The sequence below is a fragment of the Homo sapiens genome, chromosome X (assembly GCF_000001405.40).
Source record: "Homo sapiens chromosome X, GRCh38.p14 Primary Assembly".
In the NCBI taxonomy this organism is placed as follows: Eukaryota; Metazoa; Chordata; class Mammalia; order Primates; family Hominidae; genus Homo; species Homo sapiens.
The window spans coordinates 107542403-107567574 of NC_000023.11; the positions used below are offsets into that span (position 1 = coordinate 107542403).

A 25172-nucleotide genomic window follows, 5' to 3' on the forward strand; every position below is an offset into this window, starting at 1 on the left:
TTGGAAATCATCAGAAGCTTGAAAAAAATACTGATGCTCAGACCTCACCCCCAGGAATTCTGATGTAATTGGTCTGTGGTGGGCCCTGGGCTTCAGGATTTTTAAAAGCTCCTCCCAGCATTTCTACTATGCAGCCAGGACTGACACTCACTGCCTGAGTTCCTGCTGGACTCAGGTGAAAGAAGTGGTTTTTTGCAATCTCCCCTCTGTGGGAATGAGATTGCTGGCTCTGACAGAGCCAGCTGGGACCAGGGCCCAAGACACAATGAGGACGTTTGTTTCTGATGTGTATCTTAGGGCCCTGCCCTCCTGTGGCTGATTGGGTAAATGAATCTCAACTGCAGTGTAAATGGTAGATAATAGCTTAACGTATTCCCAGCTGGCAGGGACCTTCAGGGCCTTAACACAAAGAAATTCCTGATTGTAGGACTCAGGCTCCATGGCAAGGCCCATAGGGGTGGTGGTTTGAAGTAGCCCCAAACCTGATTCACTCCCTAGTCCTCTTCATCTCAGTAAATGGCAAGTCCATTCTTTCAGTTGAAGTCTCTCTTTTTCTCACTCTCATATCCAATCAGTCAACATATCATCCTAATTCAGTATTCAAAATATATCCAGAATTCATTCACTTTTCAACTCCATCAGTACCATCCTAGCCCAAGCCTCCATTATGTTTTAACCATATTATTGCAGTTACAAATATTGTACTTAGAGACCCCCAACTGGTCTCCATGCTCTTGCCATTGCCCTTCTACACTCTGTTTTCCACACAGCAACCAGAGGCTTCCTTTTAAAATGCACATCAGACTCTGTTCAATCAAATCCCTCTAGTGGAGTGAAATCCAAAGTTCTCACCGTGGTTTACAAGGTCCTACATGACCCAGCCCCCAGCTGCCTCTCTGAGCATCTCCCCTCTTGCTCCCCCTCCATCACGCCACTCCAGCCACCTTGGCCTTCCTTGCTGTTCTTCATACACCTCAATTCACTTCAGGGCCTTTACTGTAGTTTCTGCCCAGAAGCCTTTCTCCAGATAACCTGGTGGCTGTCTCTCCCTCACTTCCTTAAGTTTCTGCTTAATGTCTCATCCTCAGAGAGGTCTTCCCTGACCATCCTGTCTAAAATAACCTCCCCCAGTGGCCGGGCGCCGTGGCTCATACCTGTATCCCAGCACTTTGGGAGGCCGAAGTGGGTGGATCACTTGAGGTCAGTAGTTCGAGACCAGCCTGGCCAACATGGTGAAACCCCGTCTCTACCAAAAATACAAAAATTAGCTGGGCATGGTGATGCCTGCCTGTAATCCCAGCTACTCGGGAGACTGAGGCAGGGGAATCACTTGAACCGCGGAGACAGAGGTTGCAGTGAGCCGAGATCGCACCACTGCACTCTAGCCTGGGCGACAGAGCAAGACTCCTTCTCAGAAAAAAAAAAAAAAAAAATTAAAAATATAACCCGCACAATCCTACTTGTGGATATATATCCAAGGGAATTGAAATTAGTATGCCAAAGAGCCATCTGCATTCCCATGTTCGTGGCAGCACTATTCACCATAGCCAAGATAGGGAAACAACCTAAGTGTCTGCCATCAACAGATGAATGGATGAAGAAAATGTGGTATAAATACACAGTGGAATACTATTCAGTCTTTAAGAAGAAGTAAATCCTGTCATTTGCTACAACATGGATGAACTTGGAAGACATTATCCTAAGTGAAATAATAATAATAATTATTATAAGCCAGACACAGAAAGACAAATACCACATGATCTCACTTACATGCGGAATCTAAAAAAGTCAAAATCATAGAAGTGGAGCATAGAATGGTGATCACTAGAGGCTAAGGTTGGGAGGGAGTGGGGAGATGCTGTTCAAAGGATACAAAGGCTCAGTTAGACAGGAGGAATAAGTTTTTGAGATCTATTGCACAGCATGATGACTATAGTTAATAATAATGTATTATGTATTTCAAAATTGCTAAAATAATACCCTCACTACTCCCACTCTAACTCACTCATTCTCTTGTGTAGTCCTTTACCCTGCCTTATTTTTCCTCAAAGTCCTTCTTTGCTACCTAAAAGATATTTATCGTCTGTCTATTCCTGCTGGAATGGATGCTCCATGAGGCCAGGGAGTTTTGTCTGTCTTATTCACTGCTCTATCCCTCATCACCTAGAACAGTGTGTGGCATGTAGTAGGCCCTTGCTAAATTTGTCAAAAGAATGAATAAACGCCCCCCCAAAGACAATGAGGATGCCCCTCAGCACGACTCCTGTATTCCTAATTGCTGGGCCTTACAGAGCTCAGCAGGGAGCTAGAATCCAAGGGGCACCCAGGAAAGGCTTAGTTTCCAGTGTTTGCTAATCATGCTTCTGATAAAATTGTGGGAGAGTTTTCAAGAACTAAAAAGCCAGCCAGGCATGGTGGCCTGTAAGCCCAGTACTTTGGGAGGCTGAGGCAGGTGGATCACCTAAGGTCAGGAGTTCAAGACCAGCCTGGCCAACATGGTGAGACCCCATCTCTACTAAAAATACAAAATTAGCTGGGTGTGGTGGCACATGACTGTAATCCCAGCTACTCAGGAGGCAAGGCTGGAGAATCGCTTGAACCCAGGGAGCGGAGGTTGCAGTGAGCCGAGATTGCACCATTGCACTCCAGCCTAGGCGACAAGAGTGAAACTCCGTCTAAAAATAAATAAATAAATACAAGCCTGGCTGATTTTTTGGGCATTTCTTACAGAATTGGATAAACAAAGTGGTGCAGAGCCCAAAACTAGAAAGCCAGAAGACTTGGGTTAAATCTCTCACATCTCTATTCCCCAATAGTGTAGTAACTGTGGATAAATCCTTTTGGAGTGCTAGGTCTCCTTTCTCCCACATCTAAAATAGTATTTATTATGCAACTCCTTCCTAGGGGCAGGACATGTCTGTGAGGTGAACAAGATCATTTCTGTAAATTATTTGGGATGCTTATATTCAGATATAATAATAATAATAAAAAGACACCCTTTAGGTCTATCTCACTGTAAGAAAACCAAATATATAAAAACTCAATGTATGTTATTACTAAAGAACTTTTGCAAACTCCCCTAGGCCTAGAGTATTAATAATGGGGTTCAATCTACCCAAATTCAATTCATGCCCAGCTGTTTCAGAACACACCAATTACATAGGGAAGCATTTAGCACATTGCCTTGCAACTAATAGGTAATTAATATTTGTTTATTGACTCCTTGATCAGTAATGCAAAGTGTACCTGTACTGGGACATCTTAACTCTGACGTGACAAAGGTTAGGCTTTCCCTAGATATGGAGAACTCACCATCTCTCTGTTCTTTTTCCAGTCCCCCAAATCTGCTTTCATCAGTGCTGCGAAGAAGGCCAAGTTGAGGTCCAATCCTGTGAAGGTTCGATTTTCTGAGCAGGTGGCAGTTGGAGAAACAGATGCAGTAAGTGTAGCTTTGGCTCCCTCTCCTCAGCCCCTGGCCATAATCTGCCTGGCTGTCAAGCTCTCGCTCTGGGGCTTCTTATAGTGGACAGCTTTCCGAATGGGTTAGAGTGGGAGCGTCCAGGTGCTGGAGGGGGAAAAGTAGTGAGTGAAGAGGGATACGTGACATCCAGAGAGGCCCCAGGCATTGTGGGGAGAAGGAATATATATTGATTCACTCAAGATCCTTCTGATGCTTAGAGAAATTTCCATCCCTAACACAGTAGCTTACACTCAAAGCAAGTGCTCCATAAACATCTTTTGCTACTTGATAGAAACAGGAAGGAAATAATGGCTTCCTGAAGACTCAGGGAATGAGTGGCTGGTGAAATTGAGCTCTCTTCACATTTAAGTGATCTTGCAACTCCACATCTTGACCAGAAAAGGCCATGCAGTGGTGAGTAAAGTTGCCTAAAGGAAATGATACAGACTCTCATTAAGTCACCAAGTTTTTATTAGGCACCTGCTATGTTCTTAGCACCAGAGGGGAGGCAAAATAAATACCTGTTCCCTGCTACCAGATACCTCTCAGCAATGTTGAGGGGGACAAGAGGTTCAGATTGAGACAATACAAAATCTACTACGGGGTGGTATTGTTTCGAAAGACAGGTAATATTTGACAGCCCATGCCATGCAGCTGCCAATTTGGGGAGTCTTGGCCAGCCACAGTGTTTCTCACTGCTTTGGGAGGTTTACATGCAGTGAACTGTCGGCTCCAGATGTGCAAATGAGAAGAGGCAGGTGAAGAGCAGAAAAGAAGTGTGTTAAGCAGTCATGCATTCTGGCCGAGTCCTTCAGGAATCTGCAGAAGTTAGTGATAACCTGGTGGGGACAGAGGGGATAGCTAGAGCTAACAGGCACTTGTGTGCTTTTGATAGCTGTGATGGGCAGAGCTGTCTGGAGGCCCTTGGCATTTACGTACTGAGGAACAGCCACAGTTGTTGGGAGAAGATAGCAGGCCCAGAGCAGGGAAATCAGCAGGGTGCCAGGCGCTTCTATATTATTTAAGGCAGAATTAGTGAGAAGAAGGTATAGAGGACACAGGTGTCTTCCATCTCCATTTCCCTGACTCTCATTCCCAAACTCAGTCTATGCCCTCCTCCATCTCTGCATGAGGAAGGCTGGCAAACCCAGGGGACTACAGGACCCCACTGGGCAAGCTGTCTGAATAATTGATGGTTGGGATCTGTGTCAATCCTAGAAGAAAAGTTTTAAGAGAAGTGATCATTGATGAGCAGAGGGGAAAAGGAGTAATATGGAGTCCCTGCAAATCAGGGTGAAACAGACCCCGAGGTCCAAGTCACCAGGAGGATATGTGTGTCCTGAATGCTTGAAAACCCAGAGGACGTATGACTTGGATTTGGTAAGTATGAACAGGCTTATCCTATGCCATCTCAACATTGCAGAGTAATCAGTCAAGGGCAGGCCACCCAGTGAAGAACTCCTTCCCTTCCTCCCCACTCCCCTCCCCTCTCTTCTCTTCCTCTCCCTTCTACTTCCCCTTCTCCACTTTCTCCTTCTTCCACCATGATTCCCCTCTCCATACGTCACAGCTAGGTTACAGGCACAGCTAGTCTACAGGCGTAACGATGCCCCCCACTCCAGTCTATTCTGAATGCAAATGCCACAGAGTAGCTAGGACCCACCTAGAGTGACCTCATTCTCTCGGACAGGCCACCAGGCATAGTGTGAGGCTCTTGTCTGGGTGAGAGACAGACATCAATCTTCCAACTCTCACTGCACTCGTGAAATTACCTGGTGTTACAACATCACCCTCCTCCATGCTGCCGCCAGTATGGACCATAGCAGCCTCATCACAGGTCGGGAGCCGGGGGAGTCCAGGCCCAAGTGACTCCAGGCTCTCCTATCAACCCTTTCCTTTCGTGTTCCAAGGCTTTATTAAGCAGCCAGAGCAAAAATAAATCCTGTGGGTGATCCTTGCCAGCTCTATTTTTAAGCAAATTCAATTAAGTAATTATCTGAGTCCAACCCAGTGTGCTAAATAAAACCTGCCACCACTGGGATCCGGGGCCGCTGGGCCTGGCAGGAGCAAGGCATCTCAAGATCAGGGAGGGGACCAGGGAGTCACACTCTTCCAATTTTATATCCCACCACTTCCCACCTTGTTTCCACAGCCAAGCTTGTCTCTTGGCTCCTCACCACCATCAACCATACCCCAACCCAGGAGGATTTGCTTGTTCCTCTTTCCATGCTTTGTCCATGATCCATGACAGTCTCTAGGTCTAGACTGTTCTCATCTGGCTTCTCAAATCATCCACACCCACTGTCTCCTTCAAAATCAAAATCCAATTTGCCTTATCTAGGAAACTTTAGCCATCTTATACCTGTTGGTTTGCTTTGGTTTTATAATGTGTATGTGTGCCAAGTCACTACAACAAGAATTTAAGACTGGATTTAAATCTCCTGTAGCTCTCATAGAGACTTAGCATAGTGTTGGGCATACAGTAGAGGTTCAATGAATGCCCAGTGAATTAAGGAATCTGGTTATCTCTGCAGCTTTTCCATTCCTATAGAACTGATGATGATGTTGGCCCAGGGAAATGGTTGGGATGAGAGTGATCATTCAGTAAGTGCACATCAAGCACCTACTGCCCATTCATTCAGCAGCCATTTATTGCGCACCAAATGTGTGCCAGGAACTTTGTTTAGTGTTGGGACTACAAAGATAAATAGGACATGGTCTTTGTGCTCTCATTTCACCATTTGATTGTGAAAGACAAATATCCTTCAAAAATATGATAAAGGTGAGTTTCGGCAGCATAGTGAGACCCTGTCTCTACAAAAAGTAAAAAATTTAGCTAGGTGTAGTGGCACATGCCTGTAGTCGTAGCTATTTGGGAGGCTGAGGTAGAAGGATCACTTGAGCCCAGGAGTTTGAGGCTGCAGTGAGCTGTGATTGCACCACTGCACTCCAGCCTAGGCAATAGAGCGAGACCCTGTCTCAAAAAGAAATCAAAACAAAACAAAATACGGTAAGAGCATTGTGAGAAGCGTGCATAAATTGCTATAGGAATGCATGGAAAGACCAGGTCCAAGTATCTGATGATATTAGACCAAGGCTTTACAGAATACATATTTGAGCTGGGTTTTGAAGGATAAATAGGAGTTTGCCAAAGAGGAAAAGAGAAAGGCAGAGGGAACAGCTTTTTTTCTTTCTTTCTTTTAGAGTCCTCAGAGAAAGAGAACAGTCTTTATTTAATGAATTTTTATTAAGAATGTCTCAATCAGAGTCAGTACCTCCCATTGCTAGAGAGCTTTTGAAAATGTCTGAGGGCCAGGCATGGTGACTCTCGCCTGTAATCCCAGCTACTACTAGAGAGGCTGAGGCAGGAGGATCACTTGAACTCAGGAGGCAGAGGTTGCAGCGAGCCGAGATCACACCACTGCACTCCCACCTGGGCGACAGAGCGAGACTCTGTCTCAAAAAAAGAAAAAGAAAAAAAAAAGAAAATGTCTGAGGGTGTTTCAGGTCATCCCAATGCTTTGGTGTGCTACTGGCACTTCATGTCTCAGGGTCGGAGATGCTAAGTGTTGTGCAGGGAGGGGGACATCCCTGAATAATGAAGAATCATCAGAGGTATGGAGGTGTGAAAGAGGTGTGGGTACTAGGAATAGCAAGACGTGACTCTGGAGACTAGGCAGGGGCCAGGTCAGAAAGGGCCTAGGGAGGGGAAAAGGCAGAGCAAAGGCCTTGACAGGACGTGATCTTGGCTTGTGAAGGGCCTCAGGGAAAGGGAGGTATCAGGAGATAAGATCAGTCTAGAAGCTTTGTAGAAGGTGTTTAAAAAAATGTCAGAGATAAGATCAGGTGGGTGAGGTAGACTCCAAAGGAGGCCTCTCATCAGCCCTTCAGCGGGTGTGTGGTGATCCCTTTGCTCTGATCTGTGGAGGTTTGAACTACAGTAGAATGTGGGTGCTCCGTGATGTCAAATGGAGGCGGGCTTTTGATATGGCTCAGTGTCTTGTTGGGGAGTTTGGTTCTGGTCCCCATGTATTATTGATCTGCTCTTTCCTCTGTCTCTGCCCTCCTACACCTTTGGCTCTCTGTCTCCATCACCTTTTCTCTCTCCTTTTTCACACCCTTCCTCTGGCTTCCTACTTCCTTCTAAATGAGCCGGTCTCCTTGTCCTTTCCCTGCTTGTTCACAGAAAATGATGAAGAAGGAAGCTCTCCTCCTCATCCCTAATGTCCTGAAGGTTTTCTTAGAAAATGGGCAGATCAAGTCATTCACATTTGATGGTCGGACCACTGTTAAGGTACATACAGTCTCCTCCCCCTGGTCAGCATTGCCCTCTCCAGAGTACATGCAGTTGTGTGTCCTGTGTTCCTCTGAGTCTGCACATAGCTGCTTGCCACTGGAGTAAGGTGGCCTTTAAGCTCTGGATGCTTGTTAGCACAAGGCTGCAAAAATGCACAGTCCCAGATGAGAGTGGTGGTAGAAGTTTGCATGCCCAACTGTGTGCTAGTAATTGTTAAACCGTGTGTGTGCACTTATACTTGTGAACTGCTCTGTGTTTGCGTTACATGGGGTCCTTCAGGACTTTTAAGAACTAAAGAATATGAAGATCATTAAGCCATTTATAAAGCAAAAGTGATTTATATTGATACCATAACACCTACACAAGTTTATGCACAGAAATAAACACAGTCTCTTGGGAGATTAGCTTAGTTATGGCTTGCTTTTTAAATAACAACCTGATCTCAAGCACTGAACCAAGATTTGAAATGTCCAGCCACAGCCTCTTTGGCTGTTCTTTTCACAGGAAGAGCAATTACTGAGCTGTGATTCTTCACAGCTCAGCCAGGTGTCAGAAAGTCCTAGTGACTTTCCTCTAATCCTTAGGAATAGAAGTGATGATATGATTCACCCCCAGATTCAACTCTGCTCTGGGACAGAAATATCCATTCCTGCATCTTCTGGACTCTCTCCAGAAAGAGAATGCCATCCCCAGAATGAGTATTTTAATGCAACTAATGCCGCCCAAACTGCTGGGCAGCTACGGTGTCTACCCAGAAAACCTAGGTTGGTCCACAGGTACCCTGTGGTTCCCATACTGGGACCAAGGCAATCCTATAAGTAAAGAAACTCTTGGACCAACAAACGTTTGCTAAGAGGAGTTATCAGGTACTCAGAATGGGTCTTGCCAGTGATTTTCAACCAGGATTCCTACTTCCCACTCTTAGAGAGCTTTTGGAAGTGTCTAAGGGTGTTTTAGGTCATCCTAATGATTTGGTGTGCTACTGGCATTTTGTGTTTTAGGGTCGGAGATGCTAAGTATTCTGCAGGGAGTGGGACAGTCCCTGAATGGAGAATTTTTTTGAAAGGCTTAGGCCTAGGTGGGTCCCCCAGGGGACCTAGGACCAAAACATACTACTTAGGGTGCCATAGAATGTTCTTTTGGCTATTGAAGGGGGCATGGGAGGGGGCATTGAAACAGAACTAGACCACCCAGGAGGTGTCCAAATGTGCCTTCTCCAGATGTGAATATCGCTTTGTGTCAGAATCCTCCTTGGTGGTTTATTCATGGGTTGGTATGTCCATTGTGGACTCTGTCTCCATACTGGAGTGTTTAGTGCCCTCTCTTTCCCTTTGGAGTCTTCTCTGAAGTTCTCCCACCTCACATCATCAGCGCCATTGTGGCTTCCAGGTAGCCCCAGCCTTCCAAGACAGCAGTGTTCCCCTCGCTTGTGATCTCAATCTGACTCCAGGAAGGGTGTGCTGGCGACTTATTGGAGCTTTGACAGGCTGCCAAGCCACTTGTCCCAGAGAGGTACCTGGGTGAATTGACAGCCTGGCACAGGGGCTGTTACACTTGTAACACCAGTTGGCAATCGCCGGATTGGCTGTCCACAATCCCAGTGCAGCCAAACTGCAAAGAAAACCTCATCTGTCCCTGACAGAGCTCCAGCAACACTGGCGCCTCTGTGACTACTTGGACAACACAAGAGATGCTCTGAAGTACCCACCAATTTCCAGCTTAACATTTGAATAACTGAACGTCTTTCAGTGTTCATTGAGGGGCTTGTTTGGCAACTGCGGTTGTAAAGATGTTTTATATTCCCAAGCTTGATTCTTTCCAGCCTTTGGGGGCTGAGAGATGCTGACTCCATGAACACACACATTGGAGCCCAGTGTATAAGCCAAAGTCACAGCAAATCAGTGGCAGAAGTCTCAGAACTGACATTTGTGCAGCCCCTTCTGAAATGTTTTCAGACACCCTAATATTAAAAGTAGGGCAGCAGAGCAGATGGAACCCAGAAGTAGTCAGATTTATGACTGTACACAAAACACATGACATAGTTCCTCTGCATGGATACATTTTTCGAGTTGCTAAATTGATCATCTATAAAATCCAGTTATGGTCAAAAATGAACATTTTGCCAGTAACTCAAGTCATTTGATTTAAATTATGAATCCAGAAATAGTATGCTTTTTAATCATATAAATGTCACTTTTGCTTTTGTTCATTCCTAAGAGTTGACAGACTATCCCAAGTGGATATTCTGACTTATAAGAGAAGGTGAAGGGAGAACCAACACAGTGCCTGGCACTTAGTAAGCATTTAAAAGATAATTTTTTGAGTGGAAGGAGAGAGGTAGGGAGGGAGAGACATGACCTTCTTTTGCCATAAGCCTCGCCAGGTGAAATTCAGAAACACCTACCTCTAACCCCCTGCACCTCTCCCCAGGGCCCAGGCCTCTGAGCAGCACTCATGGGTCACTTTACTCATTGTGGATCACAGAGCCTGGGCTACTATAAAGGCCAGTGTTGCAGCCTTCTCCCCAGGACTATATTTCTTTTCTTGGTGTTTAATCCCCCCTCCCATGTTTGATGCTTAGAATAGCTTAGGGCCAGAACTAATCTCCCTCTCAAGGCTCTTTTCTGTCCCACAGGATGTGATGTTGACATTACAGGACCGCCTTTCCCTGAGGTTCATTGAGCACTTTGCTCTTGTCCTTGAGTATGCCGGGCCAGAACAGAATCACAAGTTTCTGCTTCTTCAGGACAAGCAACCCCTGGCTTATGTAAGTAACTCTTTTTTACAGATAGCTTTGCATGTGGCCTCTAGTAGAGAAGACCCAAGGCACTCCCTGTCTGGAAAATTTATAATGATATGCTCAGCCGGTTCCCAGAAGTCACAGTTCTCACCCAAAGCTGGTATTATCCACCTCCAGAGGGCTTTTGGCAGTGGCCTTTGTGAGCTGAGAAGAGCATGAAGATCATTAGTCTTGGTCTCTAGGGGGAAGAGTATGGGGTGATTCACCACATGGCACCCAGAATGCTGAGATAAGGAGCAGTTGCAAGTCTCCTGTCTCCTGGAAACCCCACATGATAGATTTTTCTGCTTTCTGGGAGAAAACTTGGCCTTTTGCATGAAGGCTGTTATGGAAGGGTCAGGGAGTGGATCCTACTCAGCCAATTCCCAACTCCCACTTATCCTAGGACAAGTGGGAGTTGGGAATTGGCTGAGTAGAGCCAAAAATAGGCGGCATGTCACCCACATCAATTTACAAGGTAGAGTAGGAAAAAGTATCCGGTCTTCCTAGCCCTCACCATATGGAAAAGGGCTGGGGAAATCCAGGATTCCTGGATAGCATTTCATCTACAGTGAAGCACCAAGAAGTGTCAGAGATGCAATCAAAGCCAATCAGTACTACCAAGTAGGGTGGGACAGAGTTGGAAAGGAACAGTGGAAGAAATACCTTTTCAGAGCCTACATGAAAGCCAAACAAAACCCCAAATCAGACACAAAAAGATGAAAGGATTTTTGGAAAGAGAGATTCAAGTTTAGCTCTCAGCCAAATGCAATACAGAGACTCACTGGTGGGAAGGAAAGGTTGTGGGAGTCCTGCCTGGAGGGAGGCCTAAGCACCTCCCTCACCCCCAAGCAACCCTTTGAATTCAGTTGGTCTGTTGTTCCAAATGGGATTTTAAACTTTTTTATTATGAAAACTTTCACACATACACACAAGTAGGAGGAATATAGTATCATTAACCCTATTACCCATTCCCAGGTTCAACAATTATCAATACAGTGCCAAGATGTTTCATCTGTACCTTGAAATAATATTTTAAACCTTTGATTTACTCTAATCAGCAATTTACTCTGCTTGAGGCTGAGCCCCTCTGTAAGGTAAAGGCATGAATCCCACAGCAAGAAAAGAGGAGTCTGAGCCATTGCCAGGAGCCCTCCCTTCCTGCCTAGTGTCTTGGGCTTTAGACCCAATGGTTGATAAAGGTCATGTCCTAGATAAGTGATTTGAAAATTCCTCTTATTTTGGGTCAGAAGTGTAGAAAAGACCTGACTCCTCACTACTTTCCTCTGAGGGTAATTAGAATCAGCCAGGTCGGAGACAGAGTAGGAAACAACAGCTTAGCTCTGCCCCAAGCCCCACCTTAAAGAGCCACTGAGCTGCCAGCCCAACACCCCAGCCATTGATTCCAGATCTCTTTTCTTCTCCCCTTTCATCCCTGGAATTCAGGTGGTACAGCGGACACACTATCATGGAATGAAATGCCTCTTCCGAATAAGCTTCTTTCCCAAAGACCCTGTGGAGCTGCTGCGTCGGGATCCTGCTGCTTTTGAGTACCTATACATCCAGGTAGAGTCTGGCTTGGGGATACACAGACAGACCAGTGGACAAAGAAGCAGGCAGGCTGTTCTGCCATCACAATGAAATAGCTATGTAAGTTTTTCCAACCTCCAGGTAGCCCTGAAGGCCCTTTCCTTCCTTTTCTGCTACCATCGTAGGCCATGGCCAAGTTGGCTGGCCTGGTGACCTGAGCTGGCTGTGGCTCAAAGTCCTGTCTATTTGTCCACTCAGATCTCATCAGTTTTCAGAAACAAGCAATCCCAGTAACTCTGGCATCCTCACAGGATCCTAAAGTTTAACAAGCCCATTTCGGTTTCAACGGGTCCCAACCCCCAATACCTAGCTCCAGTATGAGATGATTCCCAATTCAGTTTATCCAGAAACATTTACTAGACACTTACTCTGGGTTAAGCCCTATGCTAGGTACTAGCAATCAGAAGTGAATGAAGAACTGTCCTGGCTCACTAGAGCTTATATGTGCCTGAATAAATATGACAGCAGCAGGGTGCAATGAAGATGAGGGCACTCAGGAAGCATTTTTCCAACTCTACACAAGAGAGATGGTGCAGGCTTCATGGAAAAAGTGATATATGCATGCTCTTAGCCTTGAAGAATGAATGAGAGTTTGTTGTGTAGAGAGATGGAATGGAGGGGGCATACTCTAAGCAAAGGGCCTTGCATTTACAAAGCCATGGTGGCATGAAACAGCATGGGATCATGAGAGAAGCATGAGTGATTTTTTATGGCTAGAGTACAGGATGTGAGGTAAAGAGGAGTAGGGAATAAAATTGGAGAGACAGGAAGCAGTGATCAAAGGCTTTTGGTAGGCCAAGGCAAGCATAGACTTTATGATTGAGCCTGGGCAGCGGTTCTTAAAGTGTGGCTGTTATAGATTCTTTGCAATTTCATGCTTCCTGGAGTGGTAGCATCAGCATCAACTGGGACCTTGTTAGAAATGCAAATTCTTAGGCCCCAGCCCAGTCCTACTGAGTCAGAAACTCTGGAGGCAGAATTCAGTACTCTGTGTTTTAACAAGCCTTCCAGGGGATTCCGATGCCCAAAAGACTTTGAGAACCTCTGCTTTATGATGGTGGTTTAAACCTTAGATGCACATTAAAATTATCTGGGAGGTTTGGGAAAATGCTGTGCCCCATCCAAGACCAGTTGAATCAAAATCTATGGGAGTGGGGTCCAAACACTGGTATTTTTTTAAATTCCTCAAGTGATCCTAATGTGCAGCCAAAGTAAAGAAATTCTGTGGGAGAGTAGGAGAGCAGAAATTATTAAAAGAGAAGAATAGCCTGGTCAGATGAGCAAATTCAAAAGACCACACAGTGCTAAGGAAGTACACCAGCTAGGGAGCAATGGCAGTTATCCAGAAGAAATGACAAGGGCTAGAACCAGGGCCATGATGAAGGAGGTGGGATGGGTTTCAAGAGAGATTTAAAGGGTAGAATGGATAGGCTTTAACTTAACAAGTGTCTTGTAGAGGTGGTATCATTCCCCAAGTTAGAGAATACAGACAATGGAATGGGTTTAGGGTAAAGATGAGTTCATTTTGGGAAATGTTGAGTTTTAGGTGCCCATAGGACATACAACAGCACTTAATGAGAGAAAAAAACCTCAAACTTCATCTGTCTCTGATGGTGATATCCAGGGAGGTGCTATGAGACATTGTCGTTGTCCTTTTTGACTGTTCTGACAACCTAAAATGTTAGGAACGTTTCCCAGACAGCCTCAGGTTCATTTACCAACCTTCTAGGAGGCAATGAGTTGTGGTTGCTCTGTGAATTTTGTAAGTTTAGTTCTCATTTTTTTTTTTTGCCCTGAATTTCTTAATTCAAGCTTCCAAGGATTACCTTGGTTTGAATATTTTAGAATTTAGTGACAAGATCATGTCCATCCTATCCTTCTGCTTCATGATGATATGGACTTCAGCTGTATTCTTTCTTTTTTACATGTAACAGCTTTATTGAGGTCTAACTGACAAAAGATAAACCGTACATGTTTACAGTACACAATACCATACGTTTTGACCTATGTTTATGCCCATGAAACCATCACCACAATCAAAATATTGAACATATCCAACACACCTAAAAGTTTATTCAGGCCACTTTGTAATTCATCCCTCCCAGCCCTAGGCTACCACTGACCTGCTTTCTGTCACTATAGATTAGTTTGCACTTTTTAGAGTTATATAGAAATGAGATCATATGGTATGTATACTTATTTTGATCTGACTTATTTGGCTCGGCATACTGATTTTGAGATCCATCTATGTTGTTGCGTGTATCAATTATTTCATTCATTTTTATTGTCAAGTAGTATTTCATGGTGTGGATATTCCAGAATGTGTTTATTAATTCACCTGTTGATGAACATTTGGGTTGTTTCCAGGTTTTAGTTATTACAATAAAGCTTCTATGAACTTTCATGTACCAGTCTTCGTATGGACATATGCCTTCTTTTCTTTGGGGTAAACACTTAGAAGTGGAATGGTCTGAGCATATGCTAGATCTCTTTCTTTAATTTTGTAAAGAAACTTTACTGTTTTCAAATGTAGTTGTACCATCTTTCATTCCCACCAGCCATGTATGAGAGTTTCATTTTCTTACATCCTTATCAGCACTTGGTATTTTCAGTATTCTTTTTTTACTTTAGTCATTCTGATAGTGCGTAGTGGCATCTCATTGTGATTTTCATTTGCATTTTCCTAATGACTAATGATGTTGAGCATCTTTTCATGTGTTTATTTGATGCTACGCATCTTCTCGGGGGAAGTGTCCATTTAGATCTTTGCCTGCTTTTTTATTGGGTTGTTTTCTTATTGAGTTTTGAGAGTTCTTTATATACTCTGGATACAAGCTGTTTGTTAGATATATTATTTGCAAATATTTTCTTCCAGTGTGTAGCTTTCCTTTTCAGTCTCTAAACAACGTCTTTCACAGAGCAAATGTGTGAATTTTGATGAAGTCCAGTTTGCTAATTTGTTCTTTTATGGACAGTGCTTTTGGTGTCATATCTAAAAAATCTTTGTCTAACCCAAGGTTACAAGAATTTTCCCCTATTTTTTTCTAGATGTTTTATCATTTACAGTTTTATATTTAGGCCTATGATCCATTTGAATTAACTTTTGTATGTGGTGCAAGGTATCCATCAAAGTTTCGTGTGTGTGTGTGTGTGTGTGTGTGTGTGTTTTTTTTTGCATATGGATATCCAATTGTTATAGCACCTTTTGTTGAGAAGAGTATCCTTCCTCCACTGAATTGCCTTTGTACTTTTGTTAAAAATCTGTTGTCTATATATATATATATATATATATATATATATATATATATATATAGATCTATTCCTGTACTCTCTATTCTGATCTGTTGGTCTACTTGTCTGTCGTTATGTCAACATCACACTCTTGATTACTGGAGCTTTATAATAATTCTTGAAATCAGGAAGTATTTGTTCTCCAACTTTGTTCTTTTTCAAAGTTGGTTTGGCTATTATAGGTCCTTTGCATTTTCATGTGAATTTTAGAATCACCATGATAATTTCTACCAAAACCTGCTGTGATTTGGATTAGGATTGTGTTGAAACTATAGATCAATTTGGGGACAATTGACATCCTAACAATATTGAGCCTTCCAATCCCTGAACACAGTATTTCTACATTTAATTATACCTTCTATAATTTTCCTCAGCAGTATTTTGTAGTTTTCAGTATATAGGTCTTTCATATGTTTTGTCAGATTTGTCCCTAATTATTTCATATTTTTTGATGCTATTGTAAATGATTTTGATTTTAATTCCAATTTTCAATTATTTCTTGCTAGCATATACAAATAGAGTTGGGGTTGGGCATGTTGGCTCACGTCTGTAATTGCAGCACTTTGGGAGACTGAAGCAGGAAGATCACTTGAGCTCAGGAGTTCAAGACCAGCCTGGGCAACATAGTGAGACCCCCATCTCTATACAAAAAGATTTATTTTTAAAAGAATAGAAATACAATTGATTTTTGTGTATTGATCTTATATCCTGAAACCTTGGTAAACTCACTACATTTGGCCCTTCATATCTACAGGTTCCATATTTGTGGATTTTGAAAATATTCAAAAACAATAAAAAATAACAGTGCAATAATAAAAAATACAAAATTTAAAAATATAATATAATAACTATTTGCATAGCATTTTTATTTTAGTTTAGTTTGAGACAGAGTCTCGCTCTGTCACCCAGGCTAGAGTGCAGTGCCATGATCTCGGCTCACTGCAACCTCCACCTCCCAGGTTCAAACAATTCTCCTGCCTCAGCTTCCCAAGTAGCTGGGACTATAGACATGCACCACCACGCCCAGCTAATTTTTGTATTTCTTAATAGAGACAGGGTTTCACCATGTTGGCCAGGCTGGTCTCAAACTCCTGACCTCAAGTGATTCACCTGCCTCAACCTCCCAAAGTGCTGTGACTTTAGGCATGAGCCACAGCATCTGGCCTACATAGCACTATAGCAATTTTTTTTTTTTTTTGAGATGGAGTTTCGCTCTCGGCTCATTGGAACCTCCACCTCCTGAGTTCAAGTGATTCTCCTGCCTCAGCCTCTCAAGTAGCTGGGATTACAGGCGCCCGCCACCATGCCCAGCTAATTTTTGTATTTTTAGTAGAGACGGGGTTTCACCATGTTGTCCAGGCTGGTCTTGAACTCCTGATCTCAGGTAATCCACCAGTCTCCGCCTCCCAAAGTGCTGTGATTACAGGCATGAGCCATTGCACCTGGCCTTATATAGCATTTTAATTGTATTAGGCATTATAAGTAATCTAGAGGTGATAGAGGTATACAGGAGGATTTGCATAGGTTACATGCAAATACCACAGCATTTTATATAAAGGACTTAAGCATCCACAAATTTCAGTATCCATGGGGGTCCTGGAAGAAATCCTCCATGGATACCAAGGGAAAACTGTAGTTGTAGTAGTTTTTTGTAATAGAATCCACTGAATTTTCTACATAGATGATCATTGATGATGTATTCCTTTTCCACTCTCTCCTATATTATAGTGATATCACTGTGGCTTCCTAGTCCCTTAGTCCATACTGGTTCCACTTTAACAAAATGGGAAACTGGTCTAACCAAGGCTGACTCATTGATAGCTGGGGCTGTGACCCTCAGGGTTTGGGGGTTGTCATACCCTTGGCCAGTAGTTCCTGGAGACCTCCTCTAGGATAGCATAGGGAAGATTGACTCATCAACATTTTTGTCCTTCAGACACCAAGAAGAAGAATGCCTCCCCCATCCCTGCAATTCAGCTCTCACCCTGGGCTTCTGGGCCAGGGCCCTGTGGAGAGTCCCTCCCAGTATCTTTCTCCCCTTGTTTCCATCTGAGCTAGTAAAGGAGCCTTGTATGGCTTGGGGGTGAGTATAACCCCCATGAAAAAAAGTAGGAAAGTCTCTTATAAAAGGAGGAAAGAAAGGGAGTGGTGCCATGTCTCACTTTTGCAGTGAACTGGACTGTCTGCTTGTACCTTGCCATTGTGTGCCCCTGTCACTGAGAAGGCTATCTAGTATCTGCTGAATAAAGTGAACAGTGTCTATGAGACCTGAGCCTCCTCTGTTGTCTCTTCTCCAAGGGGAGCTCCTTCCTCTGTCCCTTGATCTAGCATGCCTTACTGATACTATGAGTATTGTCTGGGATGTAAGGGAGTAGATCAGGGGGTGGGGAAGGAATGTCTCCTTCAGCTGATAGGTTTGGACTGCCCTCTCTCACAGAGTCGGAATGATGTTATTCGAGAACGCTTTGGAATGGATCCCAAGCCAGAGATGCTTTTGGGCCTTGCTGCGCTCCACATCTATATCACTGTCTCAGCCACTCGACCTAGTCAGAAGATCTCGCTCAAGAATGTGGAGTGAGTTGTGCTGCGGCCCGTTGGGATGGGGGGCGAATAGTTGCGTAGGGAAAAGGTACACTGGTTGAGCTATGCTATGCTTTTCAGAAATGTAGGACATGGGATGGGAGTGAGAATTGGAGTCCCTCATATCTAGACTATGAAGCCCTAGAGCTACAGCTTCTACTAGGGAGCTGTGGCTAATGTTATTTTCCTATCCCTGTCCCTTTTTCTTTCTCCCAGTCTCTATTCCTCCATCTCTACCTCTCAGATTCAGTCAATTTCTGTCTTACCATCTTCTCTCTGTCCCACTTTGCCTCTCTCACTAATCTCTTACTTTTCTTCTGCTTTTAGGAAGGAGTGGGGCCTGGAACCCTTTCTTCCCCCCTCCCTCCTGCAGGTCATCAAAGAGAAGAACCTCCGGAAATCTCTCTCTCAGCAACTGAAGGCTCACCAAACACATCCTTCCTGCGGCACCAAGGTATCCAGAGTAGACCACTGGGCATGGTGCTCCAGGCACTACTGGCCACAGGGAGATCCTGGGTGGTTTCCCAGCAGAGTCTGGTCCTCTAGGGATCCTCACCACTGCTTTTGACTCAGGTGCACATACGGCTTGGCCAGGTGTGGGGCAGTTGTGGAGAGGAGTCTTCCCCAAGCCTGAGCATCCCAAAGAGACAGCTGAGTGACACATCACTGAGAGAGCTCAGGGTCCTCAAAGCAAAGGGGCCAAGATGCAGGAGATAATTCTCAGGTCCTTTTCACCAATTAGTCAGTGCCGACTGAGCATGTATCATGTGGAAAGCACTGGACCCTAGGGAGGCACATGTTTTCCATGGAAATGACTAGGCTGGTGTGGTGGCTCATGCCTGTAATCCCAGCGCTTTGGGAGGCCAAAGCAGGAAGATCACTTGAGCCCAGGAGTTTGAGACCAGTCTGGGCAACATAGTGAGACAGCGTCTTTACTTTTAAAAAAATAATTTAAAAAAAATGTAAAAAAAGGAAATGTACCTCTGTACCTCTAATTCATCAGTCCTAGGGTGTGGAATTCTGGGAGACAAAACCCCAGCCCAGGGGAAAGTGGGAGAGTTGGGGGCACAAGACCTGACCTGGAGAATGGGTCACTGGGTGGAATGGTGAGGGATCAGGTTACTGCCTCCACTTTCTAGTGCTCTGAGGGACTCCCACTGTCTGCTTTCCCAAGCCCCGCAGCAGCTTCTTAGCTTTGTAAGATTCAATCTGCCTGTGCTTCCTGCCCTAGAAGCAGGAGAGTGGTGAGACGCACTAGAATCAGCATGCAGATGTACATATGGGACGCAATCGCCCCATACATTCCTCCCATTCCAGATTTCTTGCATTACCAACTAGCTTCTCTTTTAAGATGCAAATTTCCCCGGAGAGTTAAGCCATTCCCACCTTGCTGTGAATATTTAATCAGATTGTTTTCTTCTCAACTGAGAGCATCAGTGCTCACCACCATCTCCTCAGGTAACATTTTTTTCGAGGCACCCCAGTGCTTGGGTTGGAAATATGAAGATGAAGAGGGCCTGGTCTTGGCCCCTGAGTCAGGCACAGTCTAATGGGGAAACACATTAGTCAGTCCCAACACAGTGCATTAGGCACAGGTGCTCTGGAAGCACAGAGGAAGAACACTAAGCCCAGCCTGAGGGAGGTGGAAAAGGCCAGAGCTGGGTCTTGAAAGACAGATAAGAGTTTGTCTAGATTAATCCGTGGGCATGGGTCATGGGAGGAAGTGTTTCCCAGGCAGAGAGATCCATCTGTACAAAGGCCCAGAGATATGAGAAACCATGGTGCAAGGACAGAAATGCAAATCATTCAGCCTAAGCAAGTACAGAAAATGCAAGCTGTGTGCAAGGGGTGAAGATAGGGGCAAGAGAAGAGGCCAGAGAGGTTGGCAGGAGCCAGTTCATGGAGGGCCTTGTGTGCCAAGGAAAGAGGTTGTACTTCATCCTCTAGGCAGCTGGGAGCCATTGAAGGGTTTAAAGCAGGGAGCTGATGTGATTAAACTTATGTTTTAGGATGCTCCCTCTAACAGTGTGGAGGCACTTGAGGGAAAGAGGGAAACAAGTGTCAGTCCTGAAGGTAACCTGGCTGTCACCCTGACACAGGTGGGAATGTCAAGGCAATGACTGGCTAGAGAAGAGGGATGGATAGATTGGAAAAGGAGCTAGGGGGTAAGTATCCAGATGATCTGGTAACTGCTGGCTCTCACATGAGGCGATTAAGGAGGAGTCCAGTGTGACTCACAGGTTTCTGGCTTGATTGCCCAGGGGATGCTGATATAGACCAGGAATGCCTGAAGTGCAGGCTTGGGACTTAGGAATGCTTAGTATGAACGGTATTGAGTGGGACCCCCAGCTGGGGAATGACCAGCATGTACATGACTCTAGGGGTCTGAAACATCTCAGGAGAGAGGTATGGATTAGGTGGGGCGTCAGTTAGTTGGAATTAAACCAAAAACAAAATGAGTAAGCTGGATACTTTAGGAATGAAGATCAGGAGGTAGGACAAGATTTTAGAAAGGGAGATGAGATACTAGAGGGAAGAGCTGTCCAAACTAGAACCTTGCTGCTGTTTTAAGAAGGGCATCTTCACATCTCCACAGTGTCACTTGCTGACTGGTGCCTGTCCTAGGATGTTGAGACTCCTCGTTGAGAACATGGGTTTGCTTTTCCTGTGCCCCTCAGGCTTCTCATATTTCTGGATGGGTTTTTCCACAGGGCTCTGCAATTCAGGCAAAGCTCCAGTATCTACGAATTCTGAATGAACTTCCTACCTTCACGGGCGTTTTGTTCAACACTGTAGGCCTGGTCAGTGGCGCAGGATTGGGGGATGTGGGGAGGGAGCCCCTTGTTGGCTCTTGTCCTTGGGTGTGGGGGCAGGAGGGGCAAATATTTCTAAAGGCCTTCGTTCCTCTTCCTCCTCCTTCTACCTCTTACCTCCCTGGCCCTGCCTCTGCCAAAATGATAAAGTGGGAGGAGATATTTGTTTTGAGTATCCCTCCATGACCTTTTTTTGTTCCTCTTCCTCGATTTGGGGGCGCAGCATACTTTTTCCATAAAGGGCCAGATAGTAAATATTTTAGGTTTTGCAGGCGGGCCATACTGGCAACTGTGGCAACTACTCAGCCCTGCTGTCAGATTATGAAAGCAGCCACAGACAATGCATAAACAAATGGGTGTGGCTGTTTACCAATAATTATTTATGGATACGAAAATTTGAATTTCATGTACTTTTCACATGTCACAAAACATGCCTCTTCTGATTTTTTTTCCCTACCATTAAAAAATCTAAAAACCATTCTTAGCTCCTGGGCCATAAAAAATAGGTGGTGGGTGGTATTTGGCCCATGGGCCATGGTTAGGCAACCCCTGCTCTATTTCATTTTTGTTCCACATACTCCCACAGTCCCCTACCCTAGGTTTCCTGAGTCCTTCTACTTCTCCCCCTGCTTGCTCAGCACCTTTGCTGCAGGAACAAGGCTCTGGGGCAGGGCACAGCTGGTCCCACCCTAAGACTGTGCCCCAGGCTAGTTTACCCTGGTGAAAGGAAATTCAAATCACCTTGCTAATTGGATCCAGGTGCTTGTCTTGCTCCCAGGAGCACATTGTCAGCTAGTGCGGCACATCGGTGGAAAGCCACTTATCAAAGTGCCTATAGACAGGCACAAGAGGTTCCTCAGGGTGATGCTAATACCAGGGAATGGGCCTCCAGACGACCCAAGCTTGATTGCTCCAAGGAATCTGTCAAGACCTCTTAAGGGAATCCAGTCCTTCAGGCCGAGAGGTAGCCATTTACATACTGGGATTTGCAGAACACTGAAAGCCCACTGTCCCCTCCCACCTCCTTCATACACTGTCAAATCTTTCTTCCACCCACCTACCACTGCTAAAATTTCTATTGGCCATACCTGCTGGAGTGCCCATTAAAAGGCAAATCTCTGCTTAACGAGGGAGGCTGCCATGAAGTACCCAATCAACCCTCAACACCTTAGGCAGAGTTACTGTGCCAGTTTAGTTTTTGGCCTGGGTGAGAAGTGCAAGTTTGAGTGGCTGTTGGTGGGGGGAGGGTAAAGACCAGACACAGGATGCCGCCTTCTCAGGCAGAGCACTGGGTGGGGGCCTCAAATGGCCTGCAGCAACAAATGGAAAGCCCCTGGGGCTTGGAAGGGGAGGGTGCTCCAAAGGCCCCCAAACAAACCTCACCTACTTCACGGTTTTGCTTGAGCTAGCCCTTCTGCCTGTGCACTTTACTCAACCTGCTGCTGAGGCTAAGGTGTTCATTTGGACCCATAATCTGGGGCTCTATCCCAGGAACCATTTTCTGTCCCAGACCATTTTCCCCTCCAGGTTGTCCTACTGTGGCACTGAGCCCCAGATATTTTCAGACCCCACCAGAGAGTCCAATGCATGTTTTCTATTTCCTCCTCCTGCCTCCTCTCCCCACCTCCTCCACCCTTCCTTCTGTGAACGTTGCCTGCCATTCTTGGGCACCAGGATGAGAAGCAGTCGGCCACCACGCTCCTGGTGGGACCCCGTCATGGCATCAGCCATGTTATTGACCTCAAAACCAACCTCACCACTGTGCTGTCCGAGTTCAGCAAGATCAGCAAGATCCAGCTGTTCCGGGAGAACCAGGGCGTGGCCCGGGTGGAGACCAGCATCATGGATGCCAAGGTAAGCCCTGCTTTGAGGGCCTCCTTCTGTTTAGGAACAGGCCTTGGGAATAGAGGAAGAAGTAAACTTGAGAAAGAGAATTGGAATCTGTTAGGTGAGGTTCAGTAATTCTGAAGTGGTTCAACCCTGGGACTCTTTGGGCTAATATGTCTCTTCTCAGCCCTCTGGGACATGCCATTTTGACCACATAATAAGGTCAGCCAGCACTAAGGAATGCTATGGAGAGTCAGATCAGCCTGAGACAGTTCTTCAGCACAGGGCAGGGAAACTGGAGAACTTGGAGCTACCCCCAGACCACTGCTTCCCATTTTTCTCATATCATAGCACACAGAAAATTATATTCACAGGCCGGCATGGTGGCTCATGCCTGTAATCTCATGCTTTGGGAGGCCAAGGTGGGCAGATAACTTGAGTCCAAGGGGTTTGAGACCAGCCTGGGCAACATGGTGAAACCCTGTCTCTACAAAAAATTACAAAACTTAGCTGGGCATGGTAGCACACACCTGTGGTCCCAGCTACTCAGGGGACTGAGGTGGGAGGACTGCCTGGGCCAGAGAGGTCAAGGCTGCAGTGAGCTGTGATTGCACCACTACACTCCAGCCTGGGCAACAGAGTGAAACCCTGTCTCAAAAAAAAAAAATAAAATAAATAAAAAGTAATAATAAAGAAAGAAAAGAAAAAAGAAAAAAAAATTATATTCATGTGGAACACTGGGGTAAATGTAGCAGCCCCAGAGACTCTGTCCACCCCAGGTTCTGCCTGGCTGCCCCAGAAACTATAGGAATGAATATCTTGGCCCATCTTCACCCATTCCATGTGCACAGCAGTTGGGGGGCCCTGCCATAGGGACACGCACCTTGAGTCATTGAAGAGAGGGTGTCTGAGCATGTGAACAGAACAGAGGGGGCCTGGGAAGAAGGGGAACATGCAGAGCCTTGTCCTTATTTCACCTCCCAGAGTCCAGCCCTTCCAGAACCTTAGATTCATTCCCATAGATCAACTCCTTCGGACTGGCAAGCAGCTGTCGCCTGTGCAAAGTCTGGCAGTCTTGGTCAGCCACCCCCTCCACAGCTCTCCTGTTTGAATACCAGTGACCACTGTGGGTGGGGGGCAGGCCTGCCTGCCAGCTGGCGGAAGCTCTTAGAGGAGTTGCAACTTTCCTTTCTTAAACGATTTCCCAGGGGGAGATATTGGTAGCAGATTAAGAGGTGGAGTGTTTGCTGTTTCTAAAAGAGAAAATTATTTGCTTTATTTTTGTCTTTGTGAAACCCAGAAAGCTTTAATGTGTTGATTTTTCCACCTGTGATTCACAGGATTCCCATTGGTTTAGGAACTGGCTTGGAGCCGATGTTTAATTGGCTTGCGGCTACCTCCTCAACCAATGGTTGCTGCACTCCTCAGATGTTGTTGGGTAAAAAGCCAAATGGACGGGCAGAGAAGGGGGCAGGGAAGACAAGGCATGCAGGGGAGATGTGGCTTCCTGAGAAATAAAAGGGGTTTAAAATAGAGACACAGCTTTCCAACTGAGTCTTCTATGTTCTGAGTGATTCTCAACATTGACTACACAATAGAATGTCCTTAAGTGCTTTAAGAAAAAAACAGATGCCTGGGTCCTACTCTCAGAGATTATGATTTCTTTGGTCATGGGTGAAACCCAGGCATCAGGATTTATTTATTTTTTTCAGTTTCCTAGGTGACTGTGTAATGCAACCACTTTGAGAATGCACAGGCTTGAGACCTGTATTACCAGAGCTCTGGGAGGAAACAGGCTGAACAGGGGATCAGTGGGTGTTGTCTGAGTGAGGAGCACTATGCTTATTTCTAGGGGTGATCCAGCCACAGTTGTGGGAATGAATGCTGCCCTGGAGAGGCTACATTGTCATTGGGGAGACTAGATTCACAAAGACACATGACCTGCCTTTAAAGCACAATATCAGAACATGTATAGAGCTCTGGAATCAGACAAGGCTCAAATCCCAGCCTTCCTGTGTGACCTTCAGAAAGTGTCTTAACCTCTCTGAATCCCGATTCCCTCAACTGCAAAATGGAATGCCTATCTCAAAAGGTTTTTATCAGGATTATTATTATTATTTTTAATTTTAGAGATGGGGGTCTTGCTATGTTGCCCAGGCTTGTCTTGAACTCCTGGGCTCAAGCAGTCCTCCCAAGTCGGCCTCCCAAAGTGCTGGGATTACAGGCATGAGCCACTGCACCCGGCCTGTTGTGAGTATTAAATGAAAAAATGTACATAAAATGTCTTAGCATACTGCCTGGCACACAGTAAGTACTCAATGAATGAGACCTGTTATTTTTTCAAAAGCAAAACATCAGTAAAGAAAAAGTAATATGAAGTAAATGTTACAGACAAGTGTGATGTGGAATATGGAACAAAAGAACAGGAAGGAGTTAATCAGATCTGGCTTCCCACAAGAGGGTGTTTTAAGCTGGATCTTGAAGTGATAGGCATGAATTAGCAGAGAGAAGTGGGATGTGTTCAAAGGCAAGGAG

General features: G+C 45.2%; 1 protein-coding gene and 1 long non-coding RNA gene across 9 annotated transcripts in view, besides 3 other annotated features; one reads left to right on the plus strand and one right to left on the minus strand.

Annotated features, from left to right (window-relative positions):
- The window catches only part of FRMPD3-AS1 (FRMPD3 antisense RNA 1), a 32839-nt gene extending 29420 nt beyond the window's left edge, over window positions 1-3419 (minus strand). Inside the window, exon 1 of the long non-coding RNA NR_046750.1 lies at window positions 3313-3419. This is a non-coding gene — a long non-coding RNA (FRMPD3 antisense RNA 1). The remainder of the gene's footprint in view (window positions 1-3312) is intronic.
- FRMPD3 (FERM and PDZ domain containing 3) overlaps window positions 1-25172 on the plus strand; it is a 155600-nt gene that overhangs the window by 92751 nt on the left and 37677 nt on the right. For 3 of the 8 annotated variants that reach the window (NM_001388459.1, NM_001388462.1, NM_032428.2), the window contains 8 exons: window positions 3335-3439; window positions 7647-7754; window positions 10393-10524; window positions 11983-12102; window positions 17855-17991; window positions 18325-18451; window positions 20709-20798; window positions 22485-22664. In NM_001388459.1, coding sequence (NP_001375388.1) covers window positions 3335-3439; window positions 7647-7754; window positions 10393-10524; window positions 11983-12102; window positions 17855-17991; window positions 18325-18451; window positions 20709-20798; window positions 22485-22664 — 999 coding nt within the window. Of the gene's footprint in view, window positions 1-3334; window positions 3440-3752; window positions 3875-4678; window positions 4841-7646; window positions 7755-10392; window positions 10525-11982; window positions 12103-17854; window positions 17992-18324; window positions 18452-20708; window positions 20799-22484; window positions 22665-25172 lie in introns of those variants that run through there. The other 5 variants (XM_011531056.4, XM_011531057.4, XM_011531058.4 and 2 more) reach the window with 5 other exon arrangements.
- Window positions 18893-19690: an enhancer, noted in NCBI's record as "OCT4-NANOG-H3K27ac-H3K4me1 hESC enhancer chrX:106804525-106805322 (GRCh37/hg19 assembly coordinates)". NCBI's record gives its function as "activates a minimal SCP1, AML or CMV promoter by ChIP-STARR-seq in naive and primed H9 embryonic stem cells {active_cell/tissue: H9 hESC(naive and primed)}" and the evidence as "EXISTENCE:reporter gene assay evidence [ECO:0000049][PMID:30033119]".
- Window positions 20489-21284: an enhancer, noted in NCBI's record as "H3K27ac-H3K4me1 hESC enhancer chrX:106806121-106806916 (GRCh37/hg19 assembly coordinates)". NCBI's record gives its function as "activates a minimal SCP1, AML or CMV promoter by ChIP-STARR-seq in naive H9 embryonic stem cells {active_cell/tissue: H9 hESC(naive)}" and the evidence as "EXISTENCE:reporter gene assay evidence [ECO:0000049][PMID:30033119]".
- Window positions 21285-22082: an enhancer, noted in NCBI's record as "NANOG-H3K27ac-H3K4me1 hESC enhancer chrX:106806917-106807714 (GRCh37/hg19 assembly coordinates)". NCBI's record gives its function as "activates a minimal SCP1, AML or CMV promoter by ChIP-STARR-seq in naive H9 embryonic stem cells {active_cell/tissue: H9 hESC(naive)}" and the evidence as "EXISTENCE:reporter gene assay evidence [ECO:0000049][PMID:30033119]".